The sequence below is a fragment of the Homo sapiens genome, chromosome 5 (assembly GCF_000001405.40).
Source record: "Homo sapiens chromosome 5, GRCh38.p14 Primary Assembly".
NCBI lineage: Eukaryota > Metazoa > Chordata > Mammalia > Primates > Hominidae > Homo > Homo sapiens.
This window is the reverse complement of record NC_000005.10, coordinates 73,683,569-73,702,657: the sequence shown is the minus strand read 5'-3', so window position 1 is coordinate 73,702,657 and position 19,089 is coordinate 73,683,569. Positions and strand designations below refer to the sequence as shown.

Here is a 19,089-nt window from a genome sequence, read left to right as displayed (position 1 = left end):
GCTGCTGAAAATGTAAAATGGTGCAGCCACTGTAGGAAAGTTTGGCAGTTCCCCAAAAAGCTAACACAGAATTACCATATGATCCAGCAATTCTACTTCTAGGTATATACCTAAAAAATTGAAAGCAGGGACTCAAACGGATACTTGTACATTAATGTTCCTAGAGTAATAAAATTCATAGAGGCAAAGAGTAGAATGATAGTTGCCGGGGGCTTTGGTAAAAGGAAGGATGAGGAGTTATCACTCAGAGGATACCGAGTTTCAGCTGGAGAAGATGGAAAAGTTCTACAGATGCATAGTCCTAACAGCAGCACAACAATATGAATGTATTCAATGCCACCAAAACTATACACTTAAAGATTGATTAAATACATGATATGTTATATTTTACCAGAATTTCTGAAAAGAAAAACGATCTATACCAGAGACCATAATGAGACATCACTATACACCTATCAGAATAACTAGAATAAAAAATAGCAGTAATGCCAAATACTCAAAAGGATGCAAAGAAATTGGCTCTCTTGTATGATGCTGGTTGGAATGTAAAATGATACAGCCATTCTGGAAAATTGTTTGTCAGTTCCTTTAAAAACTAAACATACACTTACTATACGACCCAGCAATCATACTCCTGGACGTTTATCCCAAGAACATCCACATTTGAAAAGTTATGAAAATTATGTCCAGACAAAAACCTATATACAATTGTCCATAGCAGTTTTATTCATAAGAGCCAAAACCTGGAAACAACCTGGAATGGTTAAACAAAGTGGAATGGTTAAACAAACTGGAAAAACCTGAAATGGTTAAACAAATTGGACACCTATATCATGGAATATGACTCATCAACAAAAAAGAATGAGCCCTCGATACGCACAACAACTGGTTGTTTCTTAAGGGCATTATGCTGAGTGATTAAAAAGGCAGTCCCAAAAGATCATAAGCTGTATTACTTCACACATATATAACATTCTTGAAATGACAAAATTATAGAGATCAAGAACAGATTAATGGTTGTCAGGGGTTAGGAATGGTGGGGGGAGGGGAGTGAGGGCATATGTATGTCCCATAGTTTATCTACTCATCGATGAAAGCTGAAGATACTTGCAATTCTGAGCCATCAAAAATGCTTCAAAAATTATTCTGCACCCCCATTTTTAACTAAAGACCACATGCAATTTAATGGCTAGTAGCCCCCTCCCATCATCCCAACTTCCACTAAGAGCACAATGGCGGTTACCAATAGAAATCTCACTGACAATGTGTCAGATATCACCTTATATGGCTTATTTTTTACCCCTTTGCCTGGGGGAAAACTCCCTATTGAGTTCAGTCAGAAGTTTTGATACAATATCATATATTTTCACATTTAATCCCCTGCCATCCATGCATAAATACCTTTTTAAAATTCAAAAACACAATGACATATAAGGTGTTCCCACTTCAAAACAAACCTAGTATTTAAAAATCTGATTTCAAACATACAATTTAGTGTATTTATCAAAAGTGTTCACCACTGGGTTTTATTAAAGAGGACACTGTACTGCTAAAACAGGATTTTATGTATAGGTAACTTTTCTAAAATACCTTTATTAATAAATTCTTAATGAAGAATTCAGTAAAGATGTAAAGAACAATAAAAGTCACAATTCAAAATAAAAACAGAGAACTGCATTATTATGAAAGCCAATCTTGGACTTCCCACTGAAAAAGTTATTTAACTCATTTTGTTCCACTAACCCTTGGGATATTCTTGTCTCAACTCACGGGAAGTGTTTTCAGTTTCTTACGAAAATATGCACTATTCCTTTCACACAATATTTTATGGTGACTTTATTTTTTTAATTTTCTTTCAGACCTCTCAGGGATGAATTTAATTTTTAATCAATAAATTGTAATTATACATATTTATAGGGGACACTTTGATATTTTGATATGTACATATTGTACAATGATCCAATCAATGTACTTCGTGTACTCAATCACCTCTTGCACTTATCATATCTTTGTGGTGAGAATATTCAGAAGCTTCTCTTCCAGCTCTTTTGTAATATACGATACTTTACTGTTAACCATAGTCACCCAACTGTGCAATAGAACACCTGAACTTATTCCTCCTCTATAATTGCAACTTTGTACCCACTGACCAACCTATCCCCATCCTCTCCTCTCTCTTATGACTTTAAATGGAAAAAATCTGTGATTCCTGCTAGACTCACAAATTCTTTTTAACTTTTTTCCTCTATTTAAAAACAGATTATACAGTTTGGGCTCATAGTAAAAAATTCAAACAGTAGAAAAGTGTGTATATAGAAGGTATTCCCCACCCCCACTCCAGGAGTTTGGGTATCATTCTAGAAGTGTTCCGTCAATATATAAGTATTTTTCATTTAAAAACACACACACACGGGTTCCCATATTCTCCTACAACTTGTGTTTTTAAAAAACCACCATATTTCATAGATATCTTTCCACTTCAGCACATTCAGACCTCAATCATTCTTTTCAAAGACCAGATAATTGATCTAACCAACTGTCTAAAGATGGACATTGTGATTGATCCCAGTATTTTATATGTAACTTTCTTTACATATTAGAACATTGAATGGGAGTGGGTGAGTCCTAGGAAACATTCTCTCCTAAAAGCTTACATTTTTCATTGGCTAGAAGTGATCAAAATAGATTCTACTGATGAGAATAGACTTTTGAAAGCAGTATGGTCAGGTTGGCAGGTGAGACTCACACATTTTTTAAATCTAATTTATGACTGGTCAAGTAAATTTAAATAGATTAATGCCTTAATGATGGAACTTTATTAGATAATCTGCTGAAAATGAATACTTCATTAATCACTTTATGTTTTCTGTAGATTCATGGTTGTCTGTTCTCAAAAGGATACAAGAAGCTGTTTCCTCTTCCTACACAGTCACTTTCAATAACCACAGCCATAATCTAAACGATAGTTATATTAGATGCTTAAATGTATTGTTTCAGTAACCCAGATTTTCAAATTCCCTCCCATCAGCACGCCTCTGCTCAGCACTTTTCTACACCCAGATGGCCCACAAAGAGAGCCCTCCCGTATATGTTACTCCACAACCTGGTCATTTCTAATTCCAAGGTGGCACAAAAGTCTTTGGCAACTTTATAAAAGGCAACCGTAAGTCTTTGACATGGTGTATACCTGCAACTCTTCCTAAATTGTTTAGAGTTTTCCCCTAAATCAATCTCTCTCTCCTCTCTCCCCTCCCCCCGCTCTCTTTCGTTCTCTTTCTCTCTCTCTCTCGATTCCCCTTATTATTGATCTGCACAAAAGAAGGAAGGGCTGAAGACAAGTCCCTGGGGAAACATGGAACCTTGCTAGCCATGCACCTCAAAAGATTCCCACATCAGGGCCACCTTTCATGACCATAACTTCACGGTTATTCAGAAATTGCACTCCCCACCCCACCACACACACACAAACACACATACACACACACACACATACACACACACACACAGCTCTAGGGGAGAAACTAGGGCTGCCTCTTCTGCCACCAATAATTCCACCATCTGTAAGCAAAGCTTGATGTTCTTCTCTACACTCAAAGAAAAGGGTTCGCAAAATTAAGTATAAGTACATGGAGAACACAAGGACCATCATATAATGTGGTGATGCAGGTAGAGGCTGAAGACATGGGTTCCAATGCCAGCACTGCCCTCACCAGAAGTGTGATGGCTCCAGCCTCCTCTCCCAGGCTCACAGCAACCCTCCCCTCCAGTCAGCCGGTGCCAACCAGTGCAGGCACCCTCTCTCAGACCACGCCTTCTCCTTGGACCACCCTTCACCTGCCTGTGACCCGGCTAATTCCAGTCTCCATTGTGAACCCAGCTCCTACACAGGCTCTGCAGTCCATTTGCCTCTCCTGTGGCTTCAGGAGCATTCTCAGCATGTTCTTATCCAACACTTATCACAATTATCACACATAATCACTTTCTGTAATGATGCGATTGCCTCCCCAGTAGCGAATTCTCAAGGGCAGGGCAGCCAGTTTCCTCCATCTTTGAAAAAAAACTCAGAAACCAGAGGCAGATTTTCCATATCACACTAATGAAGCTTCAAGGCTCCCAAAGACGTCTTTCAATGCTTAGGGAAGACCCTAAGCAAAATGGTCATACAGTCATTTCCTTCTAATCTGCAGTAGCAAGAGACTTTTCAAAATGGATCAAATTTGACCTGTACAAATCAGGGGTGGTCACCAGATTTCCATCAGAGGAAAGCAACAATAACAACATAGAATATCACAAGATTAGCTTGTAATTTGATGTTTATCCAAAGTGTTCTTGGTGGATGATGTTACAGAGAAATTAAAAGTATTCTATGCAGGGTAAGGGGTGGGGTATTTTAACTACAATTTGTTAAGCTGGCTTTCTCTTTCCATTCAATTTCCCCTCGGACACACTCTCCTTCCTGTTGGGTGGCACTGGAATGTCTGAGGGCATTTTCAGGACCTGGATAAGAGGAATCTGAATTGGAAATGTTACGTTTATGGAATTTGCCAGCTTTTTAAGATTTGTTATTTATCGTTATAAATGAATACTCACTTTCAATCTAATTTTATTTTTATAATTGTATTCCTTTTCTGAAAGGGAATCCTTCCAATGGCATAATCTTCAGGCCTCACAAAACCTGCATCTGCCCCTGCCTGTATTTCACTTAGTATTTGAAACTTAAAATCTGTCATGTGAATTAATGCACATACAAATGCACATGGGGCAAGTCACTTAACATCACCATGTTCATCTCCACTGCCAAACGATGTGTGGTTCTGATGAAATGGCTAATGTGTGAAAACATGTTGTAGGGCACCATGAGATGCTCTAATCAACTAAGGTAGTAACTTCATGGTTGCTATGGTTTGAATGTCCCCTCCAGAAACTCATGTTGAAATTTAATCCGCATGTGGTTGTATTGAGAGGTAGGGCCTTTAAGAGGTGATTGGATCATGAGGGCAGAGACCTCATGAATAGGTCAATCTATTCATGATTAATGGGTTATTGTGGGAGGGGGACTGGTGGCTCTGTAAGAAGAGGGAGAGAGACCTGAGCTATCGTGTGAGCACACTCAGCCCCTCAGGTGAGATGGCCTCTGCCATCTCAGGACTCTTCAGAGAGTCCCTACTAGCAAGGCAGCTCTCACTACACGTGCCCCCTCAACTTTGGACTTCCCAGCTTCTAGTTCTATAAGATATACATTTTGTTTCTTATAAATTACCCAGTTTCAGGTATTCTATTATAAGTAATGGAAAACAGATTAACATAATGATTTTTTCAAAGATGCAAATTACAGTAACTATAAGTGCTGGGAGATACTAAGTAAAGAATGCTAAAGAAGGGGGTAAAAAGAGTTCATGTGACATCGTTCACAGATAATCTTTTCTGAGTTAGGAGATTCTTCAGGAACTTCCTGTCTGATAAAGTAAGCTTTTCATTCCCTACAGTTTTAACAAAACTTCCTGTTAAGTTCTAGTTCTCAGCCAGGAATTGTCTACCTCGAAAAGACTTCCTTAATTTTTTATTGCATAATGTTTACATATTCCATATAGTACCTTAAAAATGTTAAGTTTCAAACTCTGAGACATGTTCCCCAAACCTCCAAATTTACTGAAGATTATGATGACAGCACCTTCCTGCTGGACCATCTCTCTATCTCTTCGTGCAGCTGGAATACAAAAACTCAAATGACAGTCCCAGTCCCAAAATAGTGATGGTCACATACCTGCTGGGAAAACTCACAGTACAGAAATAAGCAAACAACAAAATTAAAGAGTGCTCCAGGAGGAGCCTCAACCGCTGTTTATTGAATGGCACTAAATTAGAACTGTGTACTAATTCAACAAATATTTATTATGTAATACATGCCAAGCACTAAACTAGTGTTGGAAAATCAGTGGACAAAAACAATTGTCCACTAGAAGATTATGCCATTGGAAGGATTTCCTTTCAGAAAAGGAATAAAATTATAAAAACAAAATTAGATTGAAAATGAATATTCGTTTATAAAGACAAATTACAAATTTTAATTGAATGTTTGAGTCTCTGTTGTATTGGTGCTTACAATAGAAGGGACACTAAACAAAACAATAACAACAATACTCTCTCAAAATAGAAAATGTCTAGAGGACTATATTAAGGATGTGACATTTGAGCTGAAATCTGGAAAATGAGTAAGAATTCAATTATACAAAGGGGAAGGAAGCAAGAGTATGCTAGGTGAAGACAACCGCACATACAAAGGTCCTGGCCAGGAAGAAGCATGGCATTCACGAAGAACTGAGAGCAGAAGGGTATGGCTGGAGCTTATGGCGTAAAGGGTTTCTGCAGTCCTACATATGTGACCCCAAATCATCTTTAATTATCAACACTTTTGTCAATGGGACCCTCCCCCTAATGACCACAGCCATTGCCTGGAATGCTCCTATAAAGGGTCAGAGAGCAAGCTTGCCTCCCCTCAATGATTCTCCAGAAACTCAATCCACAAACGTTTAGTGAAAGCCTACAGTGCGTTGGGCACTGCACTAGGTATTGCAATGTAATGAAGGGTAACAATCTGCGTTCAGGAGAGGATGCACGGCCAAATGCATAGCTATCCAAGGTCATAACCAACATACCATATTGCATCCCATTCCTACCTTAGTGGCATTCCTGGATATGGAACGAAAACAGCTTGGGTGATGTCCTAGAAATAAGAGAATGAGGAAAGTCCACTAGGGTAGAGAGGACTTGTCTGATTAGAACAGATAAATGATATGGCTGCGAGTTGCGAGATGAATGTAGGGAAATAATACTTGAAAGACATGATAAAGTCTTCACCAGTTCTGAGAAAATGGCAACTCTGAAGAGGCCAGGGGCAATAATCCAAAGGTGAATTAGAACAATGGCTGAGGAGAGAGAGAGGACAGCCATGGCCATCAGCAGGTCTTGATGACTGATCAAGACAGAGGACAAAGGTTGGAGGAATTACAAAAACTCAACTTAAAGCAGGACACCTGGGAGAGTGGTGGGATGGTAACAGAAATCAGGAAGTTGGAAAGAGGAGTTGCTTAGAGGAAAACTTGGAAAACTTTTAAAAAATATAACAGTCTGAACTTAAAGTCAAATCCTGGCTAACTGAGTGATAATAGCAAACAGGCCAGCTGGAAATGGAAGACGAGGCCTGGGCAGAGGTCAAGACGAGAGGGCCCACATGTGGGAGTCTTTCAGGAGGAGTGGTGGTCTAAATAACAAGAATAGATGAGCTCGCGAGAAAAAGAGGGGAAAGCAGAGGGCCCTGGGGAACACCCACACAACAGAGGAGAGGAAAGCACAATAGACAAAGAGATAACTTGAAAAAGAACCAGCAGAGTTCACGAACATTGAAAGTACACTTTTTAAACATAAATCAAATCATGCAACTCCCCCACCAACCTATGGGCATGACCTGGCCCCTCCCACCTCTCTGACCTGTCTCCTCTCCTCTCCCCTCCCTCACAATGCAAGGGCCATGCTGGCCTTTTGTTGTCCCTCAAATACAAAAAGTTCATTTCCACTCCAGGGCCTTCGTGCTTTCTGATCCCTCTACTAGACTGCTCTCCAGGAGATCCCAGAGAGACTAATGACACACACACACAATTCTCTGCCATGTCATAGCCTTGTATTGTCCTAACCCATACTACCATCTGAAATTCTTATTTGTTTATTCGTTTACCTACTTACTTTCTGTCTCCTACTCCCAAGTGCATTCTGCGAGAGCAGGGACGTGAGACCTTGTTTCTCACTCTCTGCTCTTACAGTGCATGGCACTAAATGGGGACTTGAGAAAATAAACACCTTAGATTAAGCAAGAGCAAACTTAGTGACCTTCATAAGATCCGTTTTGATAAAAGTAACAGCATCAAGATATGGAGAGGAAAAGAAGGCAAGAGCTAGAGACACTTATTTAAAACATGCACACCCTCCTCAGGTGTAAGCAGGAGGAACTGCTGAGAAGGTAGTATAGCTAAATCACATCTTCTATAAGGGCTGCCTTTCTGGAATATGGAAATAAAACATTTTACCTGGATCACGTTATTTCTTTTACTGAGGCTTCTCCCAGAGAAAACTCTAACCCATTTCCATCATGCCTAAAATCCTTACTTAGATGGTAAAACATTTTAAAAACTCAAACAGAACAAAAATATCGGCTACTTCAAGTTCTTTATTAAAAATACAGGCTGCACACCACCCAAATTGTGGGAGCTGTCACTGAAATACAGGAAGTGAGGCAGCATCAGACTTTAAGCACACTTGGCACTTACTTACCCACGGACCTGAAACTCACACCCACTAAGAAATTTCTTCAAAGCTGGGTGCTAGGCTGACTCTTCCTGTGGTCTTCTGTAGTTGTATATTCACCTTTGGGCCTTTCCCCAGAAGCTTATCATCTCAGTTGTGACAGTAGGAGGGGGCACCATAAAGTGGCATTGTATTGAGAGAAGAGGGAACTGTTTCTTTCAAAATGTGAAATGGGATGAAGCTAATGGAGGATTTGTAAAATGTTTGTAAGTCAAAGGTTTTGCTAAAGTCTGAGAAGCTTTTCCTCTCTGCTCCTGCCAGAACTACCAAGCAATCTCCTGCAGCAGCTAAGGAGCTTCAGACTTCCCAGGAACTGACATCTCGTGGCTGCTGGCCAGGCTGGGTAAAACAGTTACCATGGTCCTCTCTTTGCTCTATGGCTAGAACTGCTGCTTTGGAATTTGTTTGCCCCCTCAGAAGGAAAACAGGAGACAAGGCAAAGAGATAAAAGCAAGGCCATTCAGAGAGGATAGGAAAAGGTCAAGTTAAGTTAGTAGAAAACAAAAGCCAGCAAAGAAAACCAACTTCAGGGAGCACAGATTAACTGACAATGGCAGAAACACCCCAGCAGGTGGCAATCCTCTGAGATGCACATGCTGCTGTGTTTTAAATAAAGACACAAGTAAAGTTAATATAATTCGCTAAAAACAAATTTGCACAAAGTAAACACGTGATCTAGAAGTTGCATTCAGGCAAAAGCCCTGCCCGATTCCATTGGCTAAGCTAGACTTAGCTGTACTAACCTGTTTTGAAAGACACCCTTACCTACCACCCTCTGACACCTGAGCTAATGAAAATTTCTATTATTTTGAGCTGGGAAGAACTGAATGGAGCAAATGACCATCAATTAATAGGTCTGGCTTCTTGTGAGCAAATGAGCTTCAGAAGGTCAGGGCTTGCCTAGACATAGTTACCAGCAGCATCCTCTAGTGAGATAAAAGAAAAGAGAGACCCTTTAATTTAAGGTCCATGAAGGAGCCCCATTCATGTCAGAAAGCTCAAAGGCAGTTGCAGGACAGGAAAGGATAAAATGGTGCCTTTGAGTACTTGGTCAATGAGGAAATGGAGATGTGGCAGAGCAGTGGGGAAGGTCGTTACCAGTGAAGGTCGGAAAACCCCAGGCTTATTGTGGGATCTGCCACTAACAAATTTTCTGAGTCAAAAAAAATTATTCTTATGACTTCTAATAGAGCATTTTAAAATCCAGAGTGTCAAACCAGCTGAGTTAACTTAGTCAAGCCAGTCAATCTCCCTCTTGGAGACTAATCTCCTCATCAGCAAAGTGAGGGTGCCCAGGCAAAGGTCCCCAAGATGCCCTCATAGACTAATATTTCGAGTTGATGGGCATGAGGCCAGTCATAGGTAGCCCACTGGGGGATGGAGGGCCACCAAGAGAGAAGGGCAGTGTCTGGAGGACAGGATTTCCTTCCACAGGACCCAAAAGCCACAGGGAATCTGCAGGGATCCGGAAGAAGGCCCCTGCTGGGTGACCCCAGAACAAAGCCACCAAGTCACTTACTACCTCAATAAGAAGCTGCTTCCCTGAGCTGGGGAAGAGTCCATCCAGACAACTTGGGCCCTGTCCTCCGGCCCTCCCTGCAGAAGGCTGGGACCAAGGGGAGCATGCTCCACCAAGTATTCATGGAAGCTATACCAACATCCAGAAATTAGAAAAGGCTGAATAGGATAGAGTTTCCCCCACTACCTCTAGACATCAGATTATACCTTCAACACCCACAATGAGCCCAGCAGCAACCAACATTCTTGGGACCAAACACAGCAGGAGACAGTGACTCAGAATAAAAGAATAATATAAACATAAAATGCTAAGGGAATAGCGAAGTATCTTAGATCCAGCTGGAAACAAGCTACTGAAGCAAAAAACTCCCACTGCCCAAATGGTTATACAATTTGCAGCCTCCAGAGAAAAAAGTGATTACACTCTTCTCAGTCAGTGGCTATGATTAACATGTCTGCACAGCACCTCAGAAGGGTGGAAGGGAGCAAGAGCCCACACACACAGTCTCACACATGCACCCTCTGCAGATGTTAAAAAAAATCTCCACGGATTAGTCAAATTCTGACTAATAGATGCTCATATTAGTCAGAATTTGAGAAATGGGAGAAATAAAGGACACTTCTAACCCTTCACCAACTTAATCAACATACAAAATTTAACATCCCTCCTTTCTTTGCACAATGAAAATGAGAACATAATCCCCAGCTACATAATTATCAGTTATTAAAGCTAAAGAAATAGACATTAAATATTTCTGAAAGTTGCTGAATAAAATGTCAACTATTAGATCTCATTTGCAAAGCAATCCACTAAAATTTAAAATATGTATGCCCTTCATCCAGCAATTCTACTCCTAGGAATCTATCCCATAGAGATGAAAGTATCAACATATAAGGACATATGGACAGGATGTCTGGTGAATAATTGTTCATGATTGCCAAGAACTGAAACAAAGTGAATGGCCATCAATAGGGAATGAGCTTGACCCATACCTATTCATTAATTAGAGTGAGTTTGAGCTATGTCTGATGGCTTATAGGAGTTTATACAAAGTATCACTGAGTTGGAAAAGATACAGAAGTCCACATAATATGATCCTTCTACTAAAGCTTGTATATGTATATATGAATACAGAAGAACATGAAAATGTTTGCACTAAGTCCATGGTTCTCAATCTTTAGCACACAGCAGAATCGCTTGAAAGTTTTATTAAAACACAGATTGCTGGGCCCCATCCACAGAGTGTCTGATTCAGTAGGTCCAGCATGAGGTCTGAGAATTTGCATTTCTGGCAAGTTCCTAGGGATGCTGATGCTGCTAAGAACCCCTGCAGGAGATGACTCTAAGGGTTAGCTCAGAGTACAGGAACGGGAATTATAAAATGGGGGTGAGGGGAAATGGGGTCCTGTCCATTATAATAAAAACAGCATTCCCGTATAATTCCTTATGAAATATCATGAGTGTGTGTGTGTGTGTGTGTGTGTACACATTTGCCAAACAAATTTTAGTGTTTACCAAAATACTAATAAAGTTCTCTAAAAAGGAGAATTTCACTGGGCACAGTGGCTCATGCCAATAATCTCATCACTTTAGGAGTCCAAGGTGGGTGGATCTCTTGAGCCCAGAAGTTTGAGACCAGCCTGGGCAACATGGCAAGACCCCATCTCTACAAAAAATACAAAAATTAGCCAGGTGTGGTGGCTCATGCCTCTAGTCCCAGCTACTCTGGGAGCTGAGGCAGGAGGATTGCTTGAACCCAGGAGGTGGAGGCTGCAGTGAGCCAAGATCGCACTACACTCCCCAGCCTGGATGACACGGCGAGAATTTGTCTCAAAAAAAAAAGGTGGAACTTCAACTGATCTTCACTTTCTTTTTAATAATTTTACTTACTATTATATTCTTTATAATAAGCAAGTGTTATTTAATCATTTTAAATAAAGCCATTTTAATTGAGGAAAAATGGAAAAATCTTCGGAACCAACAATTTCTCAAGCAAGACTTTTCTGTTTTATTCACAGCACTAAACTGATATTTCAGAAAGACTAGCATTAATTATACTTTACAAACAGCTTTTGTTTTTGTTGAGATAGGGTATTGCTCTCTCACCCAGGCTGGAGTGCAGTGGTGTGATTACAGCTCACTGCAGCCTTGAACTCCTTGGCTCAAGTGATCCTCCCACCTCAGCCTCCCAAGTAGCTGGGACTATAGGCTTGAGCCACCACACGTGGCTTTTTTTTTTTTTTTTTTTTTTTTTTGTAAAGACAGAGTCTTACAATGTTGACCAGGCTGATCTAGGGAGGACTAAGCAGCCTCTCAAAGTGCTGACATTACAGGTATATGCCACCACACACAGCCAATTATACTTTATACAAAAATAAAATATAATTAATGTAAAAAAAGGAGCTCTTGGATAAATAAGTAGAATAGGTATTTGTTTTATAATTCTCCTTGATTTACAAAATGTAGAGAAAACTCAATATAAAATGTAATCAAAAAGCATTCATTAGCAAAAACACAAATTGGCTTGTAAATGCAAAATCTCTTCCTCTCTCAAAGTTTAATTAAATGCCCAGTAAGCAAAATCTCTCCTCTTAAGCTGTCCTTGCATCGTTTCCTATCTCTTTTTACACACAAACTAGGAAAAAGAAGACTAAGAGCAATAATCTAAAAATAAAATTATCTACTTTCTCACGGCAACGTGAAATCTTAAAATAATTAATTTAAAAATAAAACCAAAATAAAAATATCTTTATAATTTCCAGTACAGAACTTTTAAGCTCCCAAGTGGTGTTAACTGAAGAATTTTCAGCCAGAAAAATAAACACCTTAGGTTCCACTGATTCTAACTTACCCTTTTCCAGGCTTTTGCACTTCTCATTAGCTTCACCACCACAATTCTTTCCAGCTTAAAATACACCTCCTAATACTATTGTACCATTCAGTCTAAAAACTAAGCCTAGACTTCAAACCAGACTGCAGGCCTCTGGTGTTTTTTTTTTTTGTTTTTTCTTTTTCTCCTTGGAATAAACAGACTAGCCTTCCAGTGCTGCTCCTTCAGTTTCTTTTCAAGCACGAATGCAGGAAGCTGCTTAGAGACTAAAAATTGGATTTGCAATGCTCATATATATCCCTAGGTTCCACAAAGTGATATTATAAAGCTCTTGGCTGCCAGTCTTGCCAATTCCTGCTTCTTCTCTGATCTTAGTAGTGTTTCTCTTTTTCTGCAACTGCAACTCAGGGAACTGCCATGGATTCTTTTAAAAATTAGACTAAAGCTGACCATGGTGGCATGTGCCTGTAGTCCCAGCTACTGGGGAGGCTAAGGCAGGAGGCTTGCTAGGGCCCAGGTGGTCGAGGGTGCAGTGAGCTAAGATCATGCCAGTGCACTCCAGCCTGGGCAACAGTGAGGCCCCATCTCAAAATAAATTTAAAAAAATAAATCAAATAAAAATTTAACTGAATCTGTGGCTGAGTTCAGGAATATTACTATATCTCCAAGAAGAAAATAGAGTCTCCTTCCTAAAAATGAGCAAACAGAAATGAGCCAAAAAAATTCTACAGCACAAGAGACAGAGCCAAAGACTGCACCTCCTTCTGAAACAGATTCCTGAAAGGTACAGAAAAACAAAAATTTAATTCTTGCTTTGTGCTCATAATAAAATGTAAAAGATTATCTCTATAAAACTACGTGGGCATAAAAAGGCCAAGATTTGACAAAGCTACATAAAAACTAAAAGTGATAGAATCTAAAATTGTGCTGGCAAGCAAGGAACAAAACAACTTGATGCTACTGAAAACTTAAGTGGAAAACAAAGATAAACATTATTGGCCTGGTGTGATGGCTCACACCTGTAATCCCAGCACTTTGGGAGGCCGAGGTGGGTGGATCACAAGGTCAAGATATCGAGGCCATCCTGGCCAACATGGTGAAATGCCGTCTCTACTAAAAATACAAAAAAATTAGCTGAACGTGGTGGCATGCACCTGTAGTCCCAGCTACTCAGGAGGCTGAGGCAGGAGAATCACTTACCCAGAGGCTGAGGTTGCAGTGAGCCAAGATTGTGCCACTGTGCTCCAGCCTGGAGACAGAGTGAGACTCCATCTCAAAAAAAAGCCTTCCAGAATGCAACCCTCCTCTCTCCCCAAAAAGAAAAAAACAATCCAATCTTTGGATATTAGTTGTTCTGTCTAGAAGGGGAAAACAATAGTGGAAGAAACAATCTTTAAAAAGAAAAATAAAAAATGTTCTTTATCAATCCAAGCAAAATGCATGGGGAATTTAAGAAAATATTTACATCCATAGATTTTTCTATAGGTATAAAGATGTCTATCATCTTCAGGAAAGATTCTCTAAAGTGACCCGACAAATAGAGACAAAGAAGAATTTTAGCCATAAAAATGTTATAAGAATTCCATCAAAACAGGTTATAAGCAAAGGAATAAAAAATCACCTATAAGACCTATCTGAATGAGGTGCCCTTTTTTGAGAGGTGGGTAGAAATTGGGGAATAATTTCAATCAATTTTTTTCCTTCCTGATTATTGTTCCACTTACGTAATCTAATTGTCCTTGAGGTAAATCTTATTAATTTATATATTTTTAAAAGTCTGTTGTAATTAGATTTTCTAGTGCATTAACATACAATTATGCATAGTGTTATTTTATAATTTTAATATAGCCTCCCAATATGTAATGGATTCTTCACAAATTCCAATGGAGAGGATATCTTTATTACACACTTGCCAGAGTTATTTTGTTTTTCCAAAAGAAATAGTCAAAATAACTAAGTAGGATTACTTGAAGTACATACATAAAGTCACCAAAATTAAGAGATTGAATAAATCACTATCAAATGAGAAAACACTGTATCATCTAAATAAATGTCAAAAGGACCCTTGATAAAATTCAACAGAGATATAGATAAAACTCTGGAAAAATCTGTATCAAAATGTCAACAGAGCTTATCATTCACCATGGGATTAAACATGAGGTTTTAATTTTTTCTTTTTGCTGGGTCTCTTTCTAATATTTTACAATAAATATATATAAATAAGAAAAAATATTAAGGGCTTATGAACAAAAATTTAGTAAACTAAGAGAAACTAGAAGTGAATATTTACCAAACCTCTGAAGATAGAAGGGCAGAGAGCAGGTTCTTCCCCAAAATACAGAAACAAATTGTAGGACAGTTTTGAGTCTGCTCTGTCTGCACGACATTACCCATTTGGTAGATTTTGGTTTAAGACTCATTTTCATTATGACATATCTCTAATGACCTCTTGCTGGATGAGGCCAAGTGGCTAGATTGGCTTAATTCATTTTGCAATAATATTGACCAGAAATGTTAAATTAAATTAAAAAATGTTATATACTCTATCATATGTAGTGTCAGTTATGTTAAATATATTTCATATATTTTATCTAAGATATCATTATTTATAATATACATTTAATATTCTACTAGAAAAAATGCCAACTAGGATGTAATTTTTAATTACCTAGAATTTTATATTTATTAAAAGACCTTTTCTAAATTAATCTATACATAGATTTTATCATGTAACATGCTGTTATTTCCAAGTCTTTCTAGTTACATAGTAACTTTGCCTTATAATGCTAGATCATGGTGAAGTCATTTTGAAAGCAATTAATTTATGTAGCACCAGCAAGGTATATAAATAAACTGAAATGACAACAATATGAACCCCTGTAACCAAGGTCACACACGTGTAGGTAATGACATCTGCCAGGAAGCACAGTGAATGTAAGAGCATCTCAATTTTAGAGATGTTAAAATGAGAAGAAAAATTACACCTTAAAAATGATAAAATATATTAGTATTTTAATATAATAACATTATCCATGGGGGTGAGATTATGACTTATTTTCTTAACACTTTCCTGTACTTTTCATTTTACTCTTATCAGCATTTTTTTAATAACTAGAAACACTTGGTTTTGGCTGGGCACGGTGGCTCACGCCTGTAATCCCAGCACTGTGGGAGGCCGAGGCAGGCAGATCACGAGGTCAGGAGATCGAGACCATCCTGGCTAACACGGTGAAACCCTGTCTGTACTAAAAACATACAAAAAAAAATTTGCCGGGCGTGGTGGCGGTGTCTGTAATCCCAGCTACTCAGGAGGCTGAGGCAGAAGAATAGCGTGAACCCGGGAGACGGAGCTTGCAGTGAGCCGAGACCGCACCACTGCACTCCAGCCTGGGTGACAGAGCCAGACTCCGTCTCGAAAAAAAAAAAAAAAGAAAAGAAAAAGAAAAAAGAAAAACTTGTTTTTGTTTTTATTTGGTTCATTTAAATCTCTTCTCTCCTTGGGCAATGTGTATTGGTTTTTCCCCAAATCTGGTCACAATCTAGTAAGTCTATGGTCAAAATAGCTACATGAGGAGGTCGGTCAGCTACAAGGCTTCTATCACGATTAGGCTTGTGGATTTGTCTGTTTTGAGGTAGGGGAGGAGGGTGGAATGAGTGAGGAATAGGAAGGCACACACAGAAAAAACAGCAGTAAGATTTGGGAGTACTTTACAATTTAGCCTCAGTCCAGCCTTTTTTTTAATCTTTAATCATGTCTGGGCCAAACCCAACTGTCTACAGGCACATTTTATGGCCTGAAAATCACAACCTAGAGAGAGTACTAGAGATCACTGGGCAACTCAAGGGGCAGCTTTTCTACTATTCTGGAATCAATTTGGTTTATGACTCTGTCTTCCTCCAGAGAAGTATGTGTCATGTGTAGAAGGGAGTGAGGGTGAGTGAGTAGGCACTTGGCTGGGTAGTGAAGTGTGGGAAGTGGATGAATCTATTCTCATCAATTGAGGATTCTGATTAAATTTGTTCCAATTCCAGCCGGGTGTGGTGGCTCATGCCTGTAATCCCAGCACTTTGGGAGGCCGAGGCATTCGGATCACGAGGTCAGGAGATCAAGACCATCTTGGCCAACATGGTGAAACCCCATCTCTACTAAAATACAAAAAATTAGCCAGGCGTGGTGGCATGTGCCTGTAATCCCAGCTACTTGGGAGGCTGAGGCAGGGGAATCGCTTGAACCTGGGAGGCGGAGTTTGCAGTGAGCTTAGATCATGCCACTGCCCTCCAGCCTGGTGACAGAGTAAGACTCCATCTCAAAATAAATAAATAAATAAAAAATAAAAAAAATAAAATTTGTTTCAATTCCTTGAAATTTTGCTCTAAACTCCAGTCTCCTCACACACCCAGGCCCACCTGCCCAGGCCCCACCTCACACCAACACAGTTCCTTCCCAAGAAAGGAAGTTTTGTCTGAAATCAGAAGGAAGGAGGAAAGATGAGGCCATCTGCCATTTTCTGTGTGAGGAAACAATCTGTTCACTTCCCTGTTACCCCCAGGAGTTGTTCTCAGAATGGCATCCTCCTGGGCCTAGATGGCACATCTAAGTACAAATCTCCTTGGGCATTCCTGTCCCCCCCAGCGCCAACTCCCACTTCTGTTTATGTCCCAACACTTTTTGTTTGAATTCTTATTTCATACTTTTAGCTGACACAATTATCATGAAACCTTCCCCTCAAAAAGACACACATAGAAAAGTTCTTGACTATTATCAGGATATTATCATAAAATAATATATTCACACACCACTCATATGAGTGAACTGAGTGTTTGAATCCAGAAATTACACACTTAAAAAAATACTGAGGGAAATATAAAATCCAGAGTTTAAAACAGGAGCCAACCAGTTTTAAAACGCTCCATGCAAATACTTGAACTAGACAGTAACGCTCAGTGTGTTGTTTTTAAAAAGCCTTAACTCAATAGCAAGAAAAACATTTCTCCCCACTTCAGTCACATGGTTTGGAGTTAAGAAAGGGCCCCTTGGACCTGAAGCCCCGTGCTTAGCAACTTACGTAAAGAGGTGCTTCGCTGCAGCTCAACTCCATGGCTTTCGCATCTGCAATGAAAATAATAAACAAGAGAAGTTATTGCAGGAGGCCCCATGGAACCGACCAGCAGAGCTCTCCAGTTATCAATATTGTGGAGGGAGAAGCAAACTCATTAGATAGGAAAACTGCAGAGACAAAATATGAAAGAATAAAGGACTAAGATGCTATCTAAATAAAATATCCTCCCCTAGAACACAATATGATGGCCCCTCAAAATATTACACGTAGAATTACCATATGACTTAGCAATTCTACTTCCAGGTATATACCCAAAGAATTGAAAGCAGGGACTCAAACAGAAATTTTTATACCTATGTTCATAGCAGCATGATTCACAATAGCCAAAAGATAGAAAAACCCAAATGTCCATTGACGGATGGATGGATAATCAAAATGTGGTATACACATGCAATGGAATATTATTCAGCCTTGAAAAGAAACAAAAGGCTAGTACATGTTATAACACGAATGAGCCTTAAAGACACTATGCTAAGTAAAACAAGCCAATCACAAAAGGACAAATACTGTATGATTCTACTTATATGAGGTACCTAGATAGTCCAACTCATAGAAAAAAGTAGAATAGAGATTACCAGAAGCTGGACGTTGGGGAGAATGGAGAGTTATTATTTAATGGCCATAGAGTTTCAGTTTGGGAAGATAAGGAAGTTCTGGAGATGGCTGGTGGGGGTGATGGTTGCACAACAATGTGAATGTACTTAGTTCCACTGAGTTGTACCTGAAAAAATGGTTCAAATGGTAAACCTTCTATATATTATCAAAATTAAAAATCATAGTAATTATAGTACATGTAGTGTCTACATGAGGCAAAATAAAAACAATTTGAATTTGAAAAAATATATATCCCACCACCTTTATTATTTTATATTAGTTTCCACACATATGGAAACCCTATGACCCCAGACACTATCCCATAGACTGCTCCTAAAATAAAAATATTTCAGAAAGCCAAGAAAGGTCAATATAAGCATGTTGAAAGCTTCACCTGTGTTCATCGCTTGGCTCCAGGTGATTCCAAAGTCAGAGTCCACTTTTGGCCAGGTGAGGCAGAATAGCATAGTGACAAGATAGTTCTATTGCCTCCCTTACACAGAGGGCCAGAGAGTTCAGCTGCATGAACACATGGGTAGGATGCAGCCCACTGTCAAGCTAACCAACCTCTCTGCCAGGTGTGTGCACCTGGATCTGCCTCTCGGTGTGCCTGCCCCTTTAAAAACAGCACAGATGGATGGATAAACAAAATGTGATATACACCTACA

General features: G+C 39.3%; 1 protein-coding gene across 4 annotated transcripts in view, besides 1 other annotated feature; it reads right to left on the bottom strand.

Moving 5' to 3' along the window:
• Positions 1 to 19,089, bottom strand: part of ARHGEF28 (Rho guanine nucleotide exchange factor 28) — a 315,795-nt gene that overhangs the window by 239,333 nt on the left and 57,373 nt on the right. For all 4 annotated transcript variants that reach the window (NM_001080479.3, NM_001177693.2, NM_001388076.1 and 1 more), the window contains exon 2: positions 17,774 to 17,817. In NM_001080479.3, the coding sequence (NP_001073948.2) occupies positions 17,774 to 17,806 (33 nt within the window). In that variant the 5' untranslated portion in view covers positions 17,807 to 17,817. The remainder of the gene's footprint in view (positions 1 to 17,773; positions 17,818 to 19,089) is intronic.
• Positions 8,552 to 9,176: an enhancer, noted in NCBI's record as "OCT4-NANOG hESC enhancer chr5:72989307-72989931 (GRCh37/hg19 assembly coordinates)". NCBI's record gives its function as "activates a minimal SCP1, AML or CMV promoter by ChIP-STARR-seq in primed H9 embryonic stem cells {active_cell/tissue: H9 hESC(primed)}" and the evidence as "EXISTENCE:reporter gene assay evidence [ECO:0000049][PMID:30033119]".